The sequence below is a fragment of the Homo sapiens genome, chromosome 1 (assembly GCF_000001405.40).
Source record: "Homo sapiens chromosome 1, GRCh38.p14 Primary Assembly".
Lineage (NCBI taxonomy): Eukaryota > Metazoa > Chordata > Mammalia > Primates > Hominidae > Homo > Homo sapiens.
Genome location: NC_000001.11, coordinates 41,026,856 through 41,044,410, shown reverse-complemented (window position 1 = coordinate 41,044,410; position 17,555 = coordinate 41,026,856). Strand labels below are relative to the sequence as shown.

The 17,555-nt window shown below is 46.1% G+C and overlaps 1 protein-coding gene and 1 long non-coding RNA gene across 43 annotated transcripts in view, besides 2 other annotated features; one reads left to right on the top strand and one right to left on the bottom strand.

Annotated features, from left to right (window-relative positions):
• Window positions 1-17,209, top strand: part of SCMH1 (Scm polycomb group protein homolog 1) — a 215,105-nt gene extending 197,896 nt beyond the window's left edge. For 18 of the 42 annotated variants that reach the window (NM_001394309.1, NM_001394301.1, NM_001394308.1 and 15 more), the window contains 4 exons: window positions 6,870-7,049; window positions 10,363-10,428; window positions 15,685-15,827; window positions 16,092-17,209. In NM_001394309.1, the coding sequence (NP_001381238.1) occupies window positions 6,870-7,049; window positions 10,363-10,428; window positions 15,685-15,827; window positions 16,092-16,217 (515 nt within the window). In that variant the 3' untranslated portion in view covers window positions 16,218-17,209. Of the gene's footprint in view, window positions 1-2,845; window positions 3,101-6,869; window positions 7,050-10,291; window positions 10,429-15,665; window positions 15,828-16,091 lie in introns of those variants that run through there. The other 24 variants (NM_001172222.3, NM_001172220.2, XM_047449591.1 and 21 more) reach the window with 8 other exon arrangements.
• SLFNL1-AS1 (SLFNL1 antisense RNA 1) overlaps window positions 521-17,555 on the bottom strand; it is a 29,301-nt gene continuing 12,266 nt past the window's right edge. The window contains exons 2-4 of the long non-coding RNA NR_037868.1: window positions 15,699-15,878; window positions 6,334-6,365; window positions 521-1,296 (exon numbers count right to left, since the gene is read on the bottom strand). This is a non-coding gene — a long non-coding RNA (SLFNL1 antisense RNA 1). The remainder of the gene's footprint in view (window positions 1,297-6,333; window positions 6,366-15,698; window positions 15,879-17,555) is intronic.
• Window positions 11,968-12,168: a silencer, noted in NCBI's record as "peak193 fragment used in MPRA reporter construct". NCBI's record gives its function as "represses an SCP1 promoter by STARR-seq MPRAs in K562 erythroleukemia cells {active_cell/tissue: K562}" and the evidence as "EXISTENCE:reporter gene assay evidence [ECO:0000049][PMID:32103011]".
• Window positions 16,628-17,546: an enhancer, noted in NCBI's record as "H3K4me1 hESC enhancer chr1:41492537-41493455 (GRCh37/hg19 assembly coordinates)". NCBI's record gives its function as "activates a minimal SCP1, AML or CMV promoter by ChIP-STARR-seq in naive H9 embryonic stem cells {active_cell/tissue: H9 hESC(naive)}" and the evidence as "EXISTENCE:reporter gene assay evidence [ECO:0000049][PMID:30033119]".

Sequence of the window (17,555 nt, the reverse complement as noted above, 5' to 3'; positions counted from 1 at the left end):
TCTGATATTATCATTTCCTGTGTTTTTCTGATTACTTACCTAAACCTCTGCCAAAGAGCTCGATCTGTACAAGAGCTGTCTTTTGCTTTGCCCTTTGGATCTGGTATTTATGACTCCTGCCCTTCTGCCTGGCTACACGCTTCTGCTAGACATACATAGGTACCACCTCTGTTATCTGGGTGCTTACTGGCCCTCCCCCTTTCCTATATCCTTGTCTCCACACTACCCTACCACTTAGAGTCCTGGCCCAACTGACCATGCACTTCCGATATAGCAGGTAGTCACCCAAAGCTCAGGGAGATTTCATATCCCATTAAGCTTTCCTACCTAAGTTGAGACTACTACTTTTTTCTCCAATGTTTTATTTTAAAAATTTCAAACCTACAGAAAAGTTACAAAAATAGAACAATAAGCAACCATGAACTCTTTGCCTATCTTTACCACTTTTTGCAGTATTTACTTCGTCTGTTTCTCCTAACTATATATACACATATAAATATACATACTTGTTGAATACCTGTATATTTAAAATGTTTTTCATTTATTTACTGAACCATTTGAGAGTTAACTGCAGATGAGAGATTTTATCCTTAAATACTTTTGTGTTTATCTCCTAAGAATAAGGAACATAATAGTATTATTATGATTAAGAAATTTAACATAAATAAAAACTAATGAGGCCAGGCGCGGTGGCTCACACCTGTAATCCCAGCACTTTGAGAGCCTGAGGCGGGTGGATCGTGAGATCAGGAGATCAAGACTATCCTGGCTAACATGGTGAAACCCCATCTCTACTAAAAATACAAAAAAAAAAAAAAAAATTAGCCGGGCGTGGTGGCAGGCACCTGTAGTCCCAGCTACTCAGGAGGCTGAGGCAGGAGAATGGCGTGAACTCGGGAGGCGGAGCTTGCAGTGAGCAGCGATTGCGCCACTGCACTCCAGCCTGGGCGACAGAGCGAGACTCTGTCTCAAAAAAAAAAAAAACTAATGAAATTTAACATTAATAAAATACTACTAGGCCAGGTGCGGTGGCTCATGCCTGTAATCCCGGCACTGTGTGATGCCAAGGTGGGCAGATCACTTGAGGTCAGGAGTTCAAGACCAGCTGGGCCAACATGGTGAAATCCTATCTGTACCAAAAATACAAAAATTAGCTGGGCATGGTGGTGTGCACCTATAATTCCAGCTACTCGGGAGGCTGAGGCAGGAGAATTGCTTGAACCCAGGAGGCAGAGGTTGCAGTGAGCCAAGATTGTGCCACTGCACTCCAGCCTGAGCAACAGAGTGAGACTCCGTCTGAAAAATAATAATAATAAATTAATTAATATACTATTAGCTATTATGTAGTTCATATTAGAATTTCCCCTAGTTGTCACACTAATGTCCTTTATAGCTGTTGTTTCCTAATCCGGGATTCAATAAAGGATCATCCACTGCATTTAATTCTCCTGTCTCTTTAGTTTCCTTTATCTAGAACAGTTATCCACCTTTTTTTTTCTATCTTTCACGACGTGACATTGGCATTTTGAATAATCCAGGCCAGTTGTTTTACTTTAGGTCATCAAATATTTACAAATACTTACTCTGTGCCCGATTCTATACTAGACTCTAGGGAGACAGAGGTGAGACAGACTCCATCCCTGTGCTCAAAGAGCTGAGACAGGTAGAGATATGTGAACATGTATGTGGTGAAAGCAGAGCACAGAGGTACTCTGGCCCAGCAAAGCATGATGAGCAAGGAGTATGGTAAAAGAAGAAGTCAAGGGAGGATTCCTGGGGGAGGCAATGTCAGAGCAGAGTCTCTTCTTCAGAACTATGCATGTGGCTGGATCAAATAAGAGGCTGGTGAAAACTAAAAGAGGCCCAGCCAGGCACAGTGGCTCATGCCTGTAATCCCAGCACTTTGGGAGGCCAAAAGTGGATCACCTGAGGTCGGGAGTTCGAGACCAGCCTGGCTAACATGGTGAAACCCTGTCTCTACTAATAATACAAAAATTAGCTGGGCGTGGTGGTGCATGCTTGTAATCCCAGCTACTTGGGAGGCTGAGGCAGGAGAATCGCTTGAACCTGGGAGGCGGAGGTTGCAGTGAGCTGAGATCGCACCATTGCACTCCAGCCTGGATGACAGAGCGAAACTCCATCTCAAAAAAAAAAAGCCCCTTCTGGCACCCTAAAAAATACTGAGAATGGTGACAAAGATATTGTCCCTACCTTCAGTATTAGGGACAATATGAACATGTATGTGGTGAAAGCAGAGCACAGAGGTACTCTGGCCCAGCAAGGCATGATGAGCCAGGAGTATGGTGAAAGAAGAGGTCAAGGGAGGATTCCTGGGGGAGGTGATGTCAGAGCAGAACTATACATGTGGCTAGATCAAGTAAGTGGCTTGTGAAGACTAAGTAAAAGAGGCCCGGCCGGGTGCAGTGGCTCAGTATGAGGCAGGAGATTGTTAGGACAGTATTAAGCAGGAGATTGTATTGATTTCACTGGTCCCAGTGACTATTAAGTTTAGCTGTAATTGAAATCTACCCAGCATTAAACTCTGAGTCTGCTGTTTTGGGATTCTCAGGTTCCTCTCTGTTAGAGGAAGTGGTTCATTGCCCATGACACTGGTTCCTTGTGCCTTTCTTTCCAGTTGTCATCCTGGTCTTGTGAGTTAGTTATAAAGTGGTTCTCCTGCCCAAATCCCAAGATTCACAGTGGTTAAAGCCAAATAAAAACTGAAATATCAGGATGTGCTCTGATTCCCACATAGGTTTCCAGCCTAGAATTGTCAGAGTTTTAAGATGACGCAAATGCTCATAATTCACTGAAGCACACTGTCTGGCACACGTCCGCTTTTCAGGTGGACCTTCGTGGGACCACAGCTTAAACTTCAAGGTGTCAGGAAGACCTCCAAGGCTCTCCTCATCCAAAAGAGATGCACCTGATACTGTCCATCTTAATATCCTGTTTCTTTCCTTTGTTATAATTATAATAGTTGCTAATATTTTTAGCTACCTGTATTTTGTCATCTGCCTCACTATAGTAAATGTTCCATGAGGATAGAGACAATATCTTTTTCACCATTCTCAGTATCCATCATCCTAACTGTCATATGGTAAGTAATTAATAGTATTTGTTGAATGAAAGAGCAGTAAACGATGTGGGAAGTGGTTCAGAGAGGGATTTTTTTTTTTTAAACACTGAGAGTGATGTAAACATGCACAAGGACTATGCTATGTCTTTGGGTCCTGCGTTGGTGTAAGAATTTTCTTAGATCAACATCTCTAGTTCCTTGGTCACTCAGTTCACACCCATAAAGGGGAAAGCTCGGTTATGAGCATGGAATCTTTGTATCTTGGAAGTGGAAAGTACTCTAGAGATAATCTAGTATCTAGCCCAACACATGAGGGTGGTCATCTGACCTCTGCTTAAATATTCCTGATGACAGGTTCTCTCTATCTTTGGCAATTGATTTTATTGTTGGGCAGTTCTGATTGCTAAAATGCCCTCCTTTTTTTGTTGTTGTTTTGTTTTTGTTTTTTGTTTTCTGTTTTTTGTTTTGAGACAGACTTTCACTCTCGTTGCCCAGGCTGGAGTGCAATGGCACGATCTCAGCTCACTGCAACCTCCACCTCCCGGGTTCAAGCGATTCTCCTACCTCAGCCTCCCGAGTAGCTGGGATTACAGGCATGCACCACCACGCCCGGCTAATTTTGTATTTTTAGTAGAGACGGGGTTTCTCCATGTTGGTCAGGCTGATCTCGAACTCTCAACCTCAGGTGATCCACCCACCTCGGCCTCCCAAAGTGCTGGGATTACAGGCATGAGCCACCATGCCCAGCCAAAATGCCCTCCTTTTAAAGCTGAAATCTGCCTTCTTACAACTCCTGCCCCCATTCTACTCTCTGTATTCCAAAAGAGCAAATCTACCTCCAATCTTCTTCTTTTCCCATGACTGCCCTTAGGGTGTTTCTCTCCCTTGACTTTTCTCCGGACGATGCCTTCCCGTTGCCTTTCCCCTTTGCCATGATCTTGAGGTTCCTCACCACCACTCTGATCATCCTCCACTGGGAACTCTAATTTTTAAGGTCAGCTTTGCAATGTGATACTCTGAGAAGAGCTGCTTCTCACTGAAAATACATGCATAAGGGCTAGGTCCTTATCTATTTGTTTACCTCTGCATGTACCATAACTAGTATAGTGGCTGTCACACACACAAAGGGTGCTCAACAAATGTTTGTTTGATCCCAGTTGCTCCCATATCTGCAGCATATCAATAGTATATTTTACATTGACCCTAGGAAGTTTAAGCATTTTTCCTCTCCATTTTATAGATGGGCAAAGGAATCCTGTAAAAAGGCAGTGATCATTGACTAATCAAGTCTTCCAGCCCCAGTCTTTGACACCTGCACCAGTGATTTCAAAGTTTGTTTTGTTTTACCAGTAGAACTCCTTTTTTTAAAAAAAAAAAAAAGTTTTTTGGCAAAGGTAAAATTATATATAAAATTTGTATACACTCCAGTGCATAAAAATTAAAACCAGAGTAGTTTTGATAGAAGCTTGGATGAGGCCCATAACCCTATTTACTTGGCCTCCCTGTGGAGGTTCCACAGGGCTCTGTAGAACACAGTTTGAAAGTATTGCAGTCTTCAGGCCAGGTGTGGTTGCTCACACCTGTGATCCCAACACTTTGGGAGACCGAGGTGGGCAGATCACTTGAAGCCAGGAGTTCAAGACTAGCCTGGCCAACATGGCAAAATCCCATCTCTGCTAAAAATACAAAAAAAAAAAATCAGTGGGGCATGATGGCATGCACTACTTGGGAGGCTGAGGCACAAGAATTGCTTGAACCCAGGAGGTGGAGGTTGCAGAGGAGTGCAGTGAGTTGTGCCACTGTATTCCAGCCTGGGTGATAGAGTGAGACTCTGTCTCAAAAAAAAAAAAAAGTATTTGCAATCTTCTTTTCTGGCACTGTCCTACCAAAGAGAGCCTCGTCTGATCAGCCTTGTCAGGACTAGGACCCCCCAGAGCTTTGGAGCATGATGCTTTCAGTACATCTCATTAGGATAAGATTTCATGACTTGCCATCAGTCCAGATTTTCAGACCCTTCAACTCAGAATCTACGTCTCAGTGTTCTTAGCATTGCTGAAAGGAAGAGACACTCAATGGTTTGCATCAGCATCTGGTAAGCCTCTGGCTTTGTCATCATAATTATTCTTCACATCTGTTAGCTCATGTGAGGCAGACAATACTATCCCCAGTCTTAGCTGAATAAAATGAGAACTAGAAGAGTGAGGTTACCCTGCTGATAAATGCTGAAACTGGATGAAATATTTTTCTTGTACTATCACAGACAGCTTAGATTTGCCACTTCAACTCCGAATGAAATACAAAATAACAATTTTTCACATTCATAAAGTTCCTCCCATTCCATTTTCTCATTTGATGTTCTCAGCATGATAGGGGATGATTTTTCCCCATTTTACACATGAAGAAACTGGTGCTTAGAGAAGACAAGCTACTTGTCTAGAATCACATACCTAGTGAAAGGCAGGAGCCCAGGTATAGAACCCAGGTCTCCTATATCCTGGATTGGATTCCCATTCATGTCTCAAAATGGGACCCTGTTAGTCATTTTTCCTGGAAAATAGGAGACAGAACCCTCATCTGCAGAAGGAGGTGGGATATGGCTTAGGTATTATGGACCCTCAGACTTATCTTTTCAGAACCACTTCTAGGAAAGGGTTTCAACAATTAGCCTCCTTGATATAAAGGTAAATAGCTGTCTAATCCTAGATTTTACTTTGAGCTCATAGTTGCCAAGCAATTTTAGGTAAGTATTAGAAAGCAGTCCTAAAATCCTAAACCATCTTAACATTGAGGCCTTACTGTGTGCCAAACCATGTGCTCAAATTTAGTGTTCATCAGAGGCTCCGAATGAATCCCAAGCATTACCTAAACACTTGATGTCTTTGAAAAATGATAAAGGACAGTGTTATGCTCCAGTACTCAAGACACCCTCCACAAGCAGAGAAGCTGTGGCCTAGGCTGAGGAACTGATTTGGTTTGGGTAGAACCCAGTCATGAGGAATCTGCTTCGGGTTCTTTGTACAGTGATTGGGTGCTGCCGCCTGGTGTTGGGCCATGGACTGGGTATAGAAACATCACGGTAAGATTCCCTTTACAAGGAAAGACTTTCATAGCCATTCTTTTGTGATATTCACAAACTCCTTGGAAGAAAGGGGCTTCCCATGTTGTAGATGAGGAGACTAACATGCTCCGAGAAGCACTCTGCTGAGTGGCAGAGCCAGATTATACCCGATTCTCATCTCCATGCCCAAGCTCACCGCTCATCAACCCCAGCTTCCTTGAAGTGTTTCTGTAGAATAGGGCAAATACAAAATGAGAGATGGAACATAGGAGCAGATTCTTTACAAACAAGCCTTTAACCAAGCATCAAGAAGCATTTCTGACATGTCCAGATGGTTGAGCAGAGGGTCACCTTTTAAAGTACCTTCATCTAAGCAATGTGTCCCAGCTCTAGCATGTTGTGTCTAAGGCAGTATCTTCCATCCTAGAATAGCTCCATTTGTTTAAGATGTTCCTTATCAAGAAAAAGCATAGGGCATCTAGACCAGAAAAAGCCTCAAAGACCATCTAGTCTAAGAGAAAGAATTTCTAAAGAGACCAAAGTCCAGAGAGTGGCACTGAGCTTGACTAAGGTCACCTCATGACAGCCACAACCATGACTGGTACACAGGCCTCCTGAGTCCCTGCCCAGGGCTTTCTCTGTTGTTGCTGCTTGCTCCACTCAAACAGGTATCTGGGAGCCAGCACTCTGGCAGTCCTTCTAAGCTCTAACTCTGGTTTTACTGTTTTTCAGGTGAAACCTTTGTCCTGGGGAATAGTCTGGCCCGCTCCTTGGAACCACACTCAGACTCAATGGACTCTGCCTCAAATCCCACCAACCTTGTCAGCACCTCCCAAAGGCACCGGCCCTTGCTTTCATCCTGTGGCCTCCCACCAAGCACTGCCTCAGCTGTGCGCAGGCTATGCTCCAGGGGTAAGCTTACCAGAGTCCTGGCCCTCCTTCCCTCCCTCACTCTTTCCTTCACTTCCTTCCTGAGCTCTGGGAGGCCAGAGAGGACCTAGCTCTGTTGCCCTCTGCCTGGTGGTGGGACTAGGGACTGGACTTACTCTTGTGCCTGGCCTTGCACCTGGGAGGTAATTGGAGCTCCAGGATTGGCTTGAGCATAACAGAAACTAAGAGCCAAAGACCTAGACCCAAAAGGGACAGGGAAGGATTCATTCACTCATTCATCCATTAACTATTTATTTGAACTCCATTTGTGTTTGGCATGGGGAAGCAAAAATCAGTCACTTTTTATCTTCAAGGTATTATGGTGAGAGAGACACGTAAACAGATAATTATTAAACAATGTCTTGAGTGCAGTGACAGACATATGCTTTGGGTAATATGAAAATTACAAGAAGGAATACCTAACCCAAGCTTGGTGTTCAAGGGACACTTTCTTAAGGGAATGATGCCTTGCCTGAGACTGTATAAATGGCCATATCAGGGCTGGTAGAGGAGGGAGAGCTTTCCAGGAAGAGGGGCAACATGAATAAGGGCAAAAGAATAAGAAATAGCACTGATTATACCAGGAACTGCATGCAATTTGGAATTGCTCAACCATAAAATGTAATACTGAGACTCAAAGAGAAAAGCCTGGAAAGGTCAAGGCATATATCATAGAAGACCTTAAATGGGCGTTTAATTAGAGGCAAGACAGGTTTTTGTTTTGAATAGATTATTGACTACTGTGTTGAGCATGGATTTGAGGAGGGACAAAACTAGAGAAACCTAAACAAGTTAGGAGGTTACTCGAGTGGGCCAGATCTGAAGTGACAAAGGCCTGGGTTAGGGCAGAGACAGAAGGTTTGGAGAAGAGAGAGTGGATTTGAAAACTGTTCACAAGGCAAATTTAATCAGATTTGAGGATTTAATCAGATGTGAGGAAGAAGGGAGTGAGGACTGTCTCCCAGGTTTCTAGATGTGGCCAGATAGATGGTGGTGCCATCCACTGAGAGAGGGAACCCACCATAGAAGAGAAGGAAGGTGGGGGAGCCCATGGTCATATAGATGACATCTAACAGGCAGTGGCTATGCAGATCCAATCCTCAGGGAAGAGTGCTGGGCTGAAGTTAAATATTTAGGAGTCACCAGTGTATAAACAGCAGTTGAAATTTTAGGGTGAATGATACTCACTTCTCAGAAGTATGTAGTGAATGAAAATAACAGTTAACCAAAGATGAAGTCCTGGGAACCAACAAAGCTTAGGAGGTGAGAACGGGAAGGTGAGCCCACCAAGGAGAAAAAGGAATATTCAAAGTGAGGGAAAATTTAGAAAATTCAAAGTGAGAAGAATTTGATATTGTGGTGGCCAGGACTACAGAGAGTATTTGAAGGAGAGCACAGCATAACAAAGTTCTGGCAAAAAAGGGACTGAGAAACATCTATTGGATTCCACCATTAGTGGGTAATTGGTGGATCTTAGCGAAAGCAGCCTTGGTGCTGTGGTGGAGGGGTGAAGGCAGATTGTGCTGGGGACTTTGATGAGAAAAAAAAGGCTGGTGATGAGTAGGACTCTAAGTCAAAGAAGATCTTTCAGAATGGGAGCCCTTCAAGCACGTATGTCAGCAGACAGCTTGCACCTTCCAAAAAGTAGCAATTAAGAATATAGGAAAGAGGAGAAAGTTAGGCTTCAGGAGTGGTGGGATCAAGGGCATAGGCAGAGGCATCAGTCTTAAGCCAAAAGGAGGCACACTTTCTCTGAGAGAGGAGGGAAGATTGAGTGTGTCCATCAGTGAATAGAGAAAGGCCTGGTCAGGGAAGGGGTTAGGAGCGCTGATAGACTGGACTAGTCTTAAAGAAGATGGGGAAAAATGGACCAAAGAAAAGGGGATGATTTGCAGGAAACCTCAGGGCCCAACTATGCTTGGAGACTAGTTGGCCAGTTTGCACAAGCTATGGTTTTCTTCTGTGATTCTTAGCAACCTAGTAGGTATGGGATGAGAAAAGACAGCTTGAGAATTAAGGGCTTTTTTGCTGAGCTAGTAGAGCAAGAGCTGGGAGGAAGGGGGAGAGTATGTAAAGAAATCAGGAATCAGGAAGAGCAGTTTAAGTCATCAACCACTACATCTGGGAAGGCAGTCAGGGTAGGAAGGATGCAAGGCTAAATCAGGATAGGGAAAATGGAAAGTTTGACATGCCAAAGAACTTTGTGATATAATGGTTACAGTGGACATACGTCCCAAGAGAGCTGAAAAGATGGAAGGTTGGGGTCAGAGAATGGGATGCTTAAAATTCTGAAGTGGATTTATTCCAAGGGATTGCAAGAATCAGACAGTGGTGTTGGCAGTAGGTATTTGGAGTAGAATGGAGGTGAGAGTCACTGGAGGCATGGTAGCTGGATTGCCTCCAAGGATTAGAGCAGGAGTTGGGGTGGAACAGTGGGTAGTGAGCTAAGTAACAAAAAGTCTTCATTTACCAAGGGGCAGAAACCCAGATATCTATGAGTAACAGTGAGAAGGAAGAGCCAATGGTTGGGTACATGTTTGGCCTCTGAAGAACATGAGCTTTCATAGGAGGATGGTCTAGAAGCAGCAGTGGGGAGCCAGGAGAATGTCACTTCCACACCCTGATTCCAGCCTCCTCCAGCCCAGGGACGCATGAGTGAGGTGTGAAAGTATAGGAAGACTCCATTAGCAGAGCCTGCAATGAAAAAAAGTCACCTCGGCCGGGCACGGTGGCTTATGCCTGTAATCCCAGCACTTTGGGAGGCCGAGGAGGGTGGATCACGAGGTCAAGAGATCAAGACTATCCTGGTCAACATGGTGAAACCCTGTCTCTATTGAAAATACAAAAAATTAGCCGGACGTGGTAGTGGGCACCTGTAGTCCCAGCTACTCAGGAGGCTGAGACAGGAGAATGGTGTGAACCCAGGAGGCCGAGTTTGCAGTGAGCCGAGATCACGCCACTGCACTCCAGCCTGGGGGACAGAGTGAGACTCCGTCTCAAAAAAAAAAAAAGAAAAGAAAAGAAAAAAAGTCACCTCAGCGGAGAGAGCTTTCAGGAAGGCTGAATCATGGGAAGAAGCCTGTGGTGCCCCTCCCCCCACCCCAACCCGAGCAGGGCAGCAAAATGGAATCTAAAGGGCTCTCAAGTAGAGAGGCAGAGCTGAGCGCTGATTCTAGCCTCGGCTCCCTTGCTTTGAGACTTGAGTCAGTCATCTCACCTCTCAGGTCTTCCTCATATGCAGAATGTTCCTCATGTGCAAACTGGAGATGGTGACACCAACCTGGTCTTTCCACAGGAGTGTTAAAAGGATCAAATGAAAGAAGGGATATGGAATCATTTTGGAAACTAAATCGTTCCCCAGGTATGAGGGGAGTTACTGTTATTTTTATCTTCCCCAAGGCCCTGTTTCTGAGAAGAGTACTTTGTGATAGGCTGCCCTCCTGGCACTGGCCTCAGATGGTACTGTTGTTCCCTAAGCATCTCCAATTTTCCTTGGAAACCCACCATGAGTCTGTCTGCCAGGTCATTGTATAAATCTCTTTACAGCCTGATGGTCTTCATAAGGCTATGAAAAGATTCATTCGGCTGGCCCTAGAATTATTTGTCTTAAAGAATTTGGATGTTGAGTCTGTTTCCTCTCTTACTGCATTAACCAGGATGATTAGGCATGAGCTTGTTAGTTGGCCTCTTGTGGATGTGCCTCAACTGCCTTAGTCATGCTCAGACTGAGACAACAAGCCCTCCTTGAAGAGTAAGTGCCAGCCGTACACATTGAGGGGCGATGGGGAGAGCTTTGCCATAGGCTGTCTGCAGAGGGAATAGGAAAAGACAGGGCAAGTCACTTCCTCTCTCTTTTCACCCCTCCCCTCTGAACTAAAGATGGTGATAACGCCTCCTTCAAGGGCTATTTTAAAGGTCAAATGAGTTGACAATGGTGGGGGTTCTTTATAGAATATTGTTGATATATCAGGTCACCTTTTTACCACTGCCACCCTGGTAGTTCATGCCACAGTGGTCTCTTGCCTGGCTTATCATAATGGCCTCCTTTTTTTTTTTTTAATAGTGTCTCTCACTGTGTCACCCAGGCTGGAGTACAGTGGCTCAATCATGGCTCATTGCAACCTCAGCCTCCTGGGCTCAAGCGATCTTCCTCTCAAGCTACCTTCCAAGTAGTTGGGACTGCAGGCATGCACCACCACACCTAGCTAATTTTTTGCAGAGACAGAGTTTCACCATGTTGCCCAGGCTGGTCTCAAATTCCTGGGCTCAAGCAGTCTGCCTGCCTCAGCCTCCCAGAGTGCTGGGATTATAGGCATGAGCCACTGTGCCTGGCCTAATAGCCTCTGTCTTTTTTTTTTTTTTTTTGAGACAGAGTCTCACTCTGTCGCCCAGGCTGGAATGCAGTGGCGCAATCTCGGCTCACTGCAACCTCCGCCTCTTGGGTTCAAGCAATTCTCCTGCCTCAGCCTCCCGAGTAGCTGGGATTACAGGTGCCTGCCACTACGCCCTGCTAATTTTTTGTATTTTTAGTAGAGACGGGGTTTCACCATGTTGGCCAGGCTGGCCTTGAACTCCTGACCTCGTGATTTGCCCACCTCGGCCTCCCAAAGTGCTGCGATTACAGGCATGATCCACCATGCCTGGCCAGTAGCCTCCTTCTTAACTGGCCTCTCCATGTCCCCCTGAAGTCTGTTACCAACATAGACAATGAGAGTGATCCTTCTTATTGCAAGTTGGTTCATGTAACTCCTGTGCTCAAAACCTACCTATTTCACTCAGAAAAGCCAGTGGTTTTCCATGGTGTACAGGGTCCTCTGTTATCTTCACTGCCACTTCCCTCCTCTTCCTCAACACACACATCCATGCCTCTTAGTGTTATTTCACACCACTTTCTCCCTCATTCACTTTGTTCTGATACATTGGCCTTCCTGCTAAATCCTACATGTGCTATTTGCTCTTCTGCCTCAAGGTCTTTGCTCAAATTTCATCATTTCGGAGACATCTCTCCTAATCACCATATAAATTAGCAACTTCCTACCACCTGCCCTCATGGAGTTTATATTCTAATGGGAGTAGGCTGACAGACAAGCATATAAATATATAGTAGTATTAAATATGTGGGTCGTCTTAGTCCATTTGGGCTGCTCTAACAAAGTACCATGAACTGGGTGGCTTATAAACAGTAATTTATTTCTCACAGTCCTGAAGACTGGGAAGTCCAAGATCAAGGCACCAGCAGATTTGGTGTCTGATGAGGACCCACTTCCTGGTTCATAGACAGCCATCTTCTCACTGTAACCTCGCACAGCCAAAGGGGCAAGGGAGCTCTCTGCACCGTGTTTGATGAGAGTACTAATCTCATTCATGAGGGCTCTGCCCAGAGGTCCTACCTCCTAATATATATTATCATGTGGGTAGGGAGGGGTAGGATTTCAACATGGGAATGTTGAGGGGATACATATTCAGTCAGTAGCATGTGTGTATTTATATATACTATCATATATATGTGTGTATAATATCATGTATGTATGTATATATGGTATCTAGCCTCTGATTAGAGGAATTATCTAAGGTGGTCCAAGAAAGACACATTCTTGCATATACACTCTCTCCCCATATCTTCTCTCTGTTCTCCAGAGCCTCTCTGCACTTGGTTTCTCTCTTAGCATCACAGTAGACTTTTAAGACAGGGAGAAGTGACTGGCTCACAGAGCCCCCTCCAACTTTCCATCTGTTAACACCTCCAAAAAGCCACTGGGATTTCTGTGACTCTAAGCAGCCCCTGCTGGCTCTAGCATACCTCTCCCCAGTGCCCAACTATAAGCTTGAAAAGACAATATGCTAGAATCTCTGCTCCAAAAGGGGCTGGACTAGGCCAGGCCAGACAAAGTGTACTTTGACTTTTTAGGCCCGGGACCCAGAATGAAGGCAAATGGGAGGAGATTCTTAGCCTTTGCCGGAGAGAGTTAAATATTAGGCCCTTTTACTTTAACAGGTGTGTGTGTGTGGTGGCGGTGGGGGAGGGGGGTGGTTGTTTGTTTATTGTTTGTTTTTGAGACAGGATCTTACTCTGTCACCCAGGCTGGAGTGCAGTGGTATGATCATAGCTCACTGTTAACCTTGAATTCCTGGACTAAAGCCATCCTCACACCTCAGCTTCCTGAGTAGCTGGGACTATTGGTGCATACCACCACACCCAGCTGATTTTTTTACTTGTTTTGTAGAGACAGGGTCTCGCAATGTTGCCCAGGCTGGTCTCAAACTCCCGGCCTCAAGCGATCCTCCTGCCTTGGCCACCCAAAGTGCTGGGATTACAGCGTGAGCCACTGCACTCAGTGTACAGGTGTGTGTTAGCTCTGCCACTTGATAGTTTGCAACAAGGCACCTCTGGATGCTGTAGATACAGACGTGAGCAAGGCAAGGACCCTGCCTCAATAGAGACATAGTCTGGTTGGAGAGAAAGAAAAATATACAAGTAACTATTATCTGTGATCATTATTTATCTAACAGATGTGTTCGAACATCTACTGTGGCAGACCAGGCACTCTTTTATGTGTCAGCAACATAGCAAGGAACAAGAGAGAGCTTATATTGTATAGGGAGGAGACAGATAAGAAACATAAAATAAATGAGTCCATGAAATTATTTTAGGTAACGATATGTACTGTGTGGGGGTAGGGGGAAACTAGGGTAATTGGATTGTAGAGAACTGTGCGGGGAATTGAGCATTTTTACTAGGAGATCAGGGAAGGCCTCTCTGTGGAATCAATATTTGAGGTAAGAACCAAATGTTGAGAAGGAGTCAGGCATGAAAAGATTTGGGAAAAGAACATTCCAGACCCAGGAAATTGCATGTCAGAGGATAAATGCTTGACTTATTCAAGAAGCAGAAAGAAGGCTAGTGTGTTTGAAGCACGGCGAGTAAGGGGTAAGTTGCGGGCAGGGGCTGCAGAGTGAAATGAGGCCGAAGGTAGGAAGGCTGAGCTGATGGAGTACCTCATAGATGCTGGCAAGCACAGGAAGGAGTTCAGATTTCATTTCATATGCAAAGGGAGGCCACTGCATTGAGTTTTTAGAAGGGGTTGACATGGTTCAATTACTGCTCTTTTTGTTTTTGTTTTTGTTTTTTTTGAGACAGGGTCTCGCTCTGTCACCCAGGCTGGACTGCAATGGCGCTCACAGCTCACTGCAGCCTGGAACTCCTGGGATCAAATGATCTCCTGCCTCAGCCTTCTGAGTAGCTAGGACTGCAAGCATGTGCCACCATACCAGCTAATTTTTAAAAATTTTTTGTAGAGATGGGGTTCTTGCTTTGTTGCCCAAGCTGGTCTTGAACTCCTGGGCTCAAGCAATCCTCCCATGTCAGCATCCCAAAGTGCTGGGATTATAGGCATGAGCCATGATGCCCATCCTAATTATTGCTTTTTAAAGGTTCCTTTACTGCTTCATGGAGAATAGAGATTACTAGCATGGTGTGATGGGGGAAAATGGTACAGAATGATCTGTAACCAAGAATATACTAAATACTTTGTGAGACCATTTATTTCAGTATTTGACCAGAAAAGTTTCATAAAGGAACTGATCCTTGAAGCCGAGACCTGCTTAGTTAAGTTGAAGTTTGCCCAAAGAAAATTAAAAATTGAAGGGAGAGAAGGGGACAGATTCCAAGCAGAGAGAATAAAACATGTAAAAGATCTCTGACAGATGATAGTCAAAATACAGAGATCCCAAATCCCACAGGGGAAACAGGAGGCGTTATATCTGAGTCAAAATTGAGATGAAAGCTCCAAGCAAAACACTAAATTAACATTGAGATTCCTGGCAGCCAAAGCAAAAACTTTTGTGGCTGGGCGCGGTGGTTCACGCCTGTAATCCCAGCACTTTGGGAGGCCACGGCAGGCAGATCACTTGAGGTCAGGAATTCAAGACCAGCCAGGCCAACATGGTGAAACCCCGTCTCTACTAATAATACAAAAATTACTGCATGCCTGTAATCCCAACTACTCAGGAGGCTGAGGCAGGACAATTGCTTGAACCTGGGAGGCAGAAGTTGCAGTGAGCTGAGATGGCGCCACTGCACTCCAGCCCCTGGGTGACAGAGCGAGACTCCATCTCAAAGAAACCAAAAAACCAGCTTCTGCCTTAGTGTATCAGGCTGTAATGAGGTCACCTATTCTCCAGGCCTTGGAAAAGAATCCAGGGTATTTTTTGCCCACGTGCCAAGGATTTGTCTCTAATCTTACCAGGCTACCAGTCTCTCTAGAAATGGTCCCCCAGAGCCAAGGCAAAAACAGCCCCACTCACCAGGCCCCCCAGACACCCAAATAGTCCCCTTACCATGTTGGTACCACTGTCTCAGGTTTGGGCTGAATCATAGCCTCAATGCAAAATTTCTTCTGGCCATTTCCAAAAATCAGATCTACCCTTAAAAAACAAAGATTTGGCTTTCCCTTTGTGAAGAAATGCTTCCCTCCCCCAGCTATCTCCAGTTCCTCAGCTCATCGTCTGGCACTACTGTGAGCATCACCTAGAAGGCCACTGAGATGTGCCAAGGAGAGTGGTGGGGATTTACAAACCAGTCCCCGCCCTTTATGGTAGGTGCCCTCCTGTCCTGCAGGGTCGGACCGATACCTGGAGAGCCGCGATGCCTCTCGACTGAGTGGCCGGGACCCCTCCTCATGGACAGTCGAGGATGTGATGCAGTTTGTCCGGGAAGCTGATCCTCAGCTTGGACCCCACGCTGACCTGTTTCGCAAACACGTAGGTGCTGCTGCCTGACCTCTCAGTAGGAACCTGTGTGGAGAGCCTCACCTGGTGGGGACAATACGAGATGTTTGGGGAGGAGGGATGCTTAGAGACAAAGGCTGAGGAGAACAGGTAGGCTTCAGCATCACAGCAGGTGAACTGGACTCCATGTGGCGGGCACTTCCCAGGATGGCCTATAATCAGAACCTGGGGTGGTCAGACCAACCAGGACTCTGATGGTGCCTCCCTTCCACTTCTGCCCACCTCCCCACCCCCCAGGAGATCGATGGCAAGGCCCTGCTGCTGCTGCGCAGTGACATGATGATGAAGTACATGGGCCTGAAGCTGGGGCCTGCACTCAAGCTCTCCTACCACATTGACCGGCTGAAGCAGGGCAAGTTCTGAACCAGGAGAGGCAGCCTAGACAACCAAGTGGCAGCAGGTGGGGGCATTCTTCTAGGAATGAGGGGCATCAGCCCACCCCAGGCACCTCAGTGGGGTTCCGGGCCACCTCAGGACTCCAAGAGGCTGTGTGGAGCCACCACTCCTAGCCACAGCTGCCATGATAAGTCCTTCCATGAAGGACTGAGGAGGGAGAGTGGGGGTCCAGGGCTGGTGCTGCTCTTCCCTCAGCTCTGCCGGGGCTCTAAGGTCCCTCTATTTATTTCTCAACCCTGGCTGGCCTCTCACCAGGAGTTTAGGCTGAATGCCTTCCACGTGATGGAGGAAAAGGCCAACTCTGTCCTGGTCTTGCTGTGGCACCCCATCGCCCCACAGCTCGTACCTTCTCACCAGATTCCCCTGAATCCAAACTCGTGGTGCAAACCTCTACCTTTTTTACAAAAAGATCTTATTGTTAATTTATTGTTTCTGGCACTTGGGCAAACCCTGTAGTTAATACTCCTCCCACACTAGACACTGGGTTTCAGGAGGAGGGAGACTGCCCTGCTTTGGTCCCAGAGAGGCCCTCTGCAGATAGGCGTGGCCCCTCTTCAGAGGACACTACCCTAGGGCACTTTCTCTTTGAGGTGGAGAGACCCATAAAGCCTTGACCACATCACTCCATATGGGGAGGAGAAGGATCCCTGTCACCTTCTCCTCTCTTCACGGGGCCCTTTTGCAGCCCTAGGCCTCATCTGTGGGAAGGGAGTCCCTGGCTTATACTGCCCCCACCACAGCTCCTTGCCCTGGCCAGAACTGCTGTCGAAGAAAATCAGGCCGGAAGGCCAAGAAGGCGCTAAGGGGGATGGGAGGGCAGGTTTTCCAGGCTGGAGTCGGTTCCACCCACTCGCCTGTCCACAGGCTTCCTTGTAAGCAAGTCAGCAGCACAGCTACTCACGCTGCCATCTGGACTTATTTTATGTCAATCTGTTTATAAATAAAAACCAATATAGATACCAGTGTCTTTTTAATCAGTTAACAGCCAAATCACTACGCATTCATTGGACCAGTCATTCCCCTTCTCTTGGTCTTAGTTTTCTCATACATAAAACGAGGCCGAGCACGCTGGCTCATGCCTGTAATCCCAGCACTTTGGGACGCCAAGGTGGGAGGATCTCTTGAGCTCAGGAGTTTGAGACCAGCCTGGGCAACATGGTGAAACCCCAGCTCTACAAAAAAAAAATACAAAAATTAGCCTGCTGTGGTGGCGCACACCTGTAGTCCCAGCTGCTTGGGGAGCTGAGGTGAGGGGATGGCTTGAGCCTAGGAGATCGAGGCTGCAGTGAGCCGTGTTCGCACCAC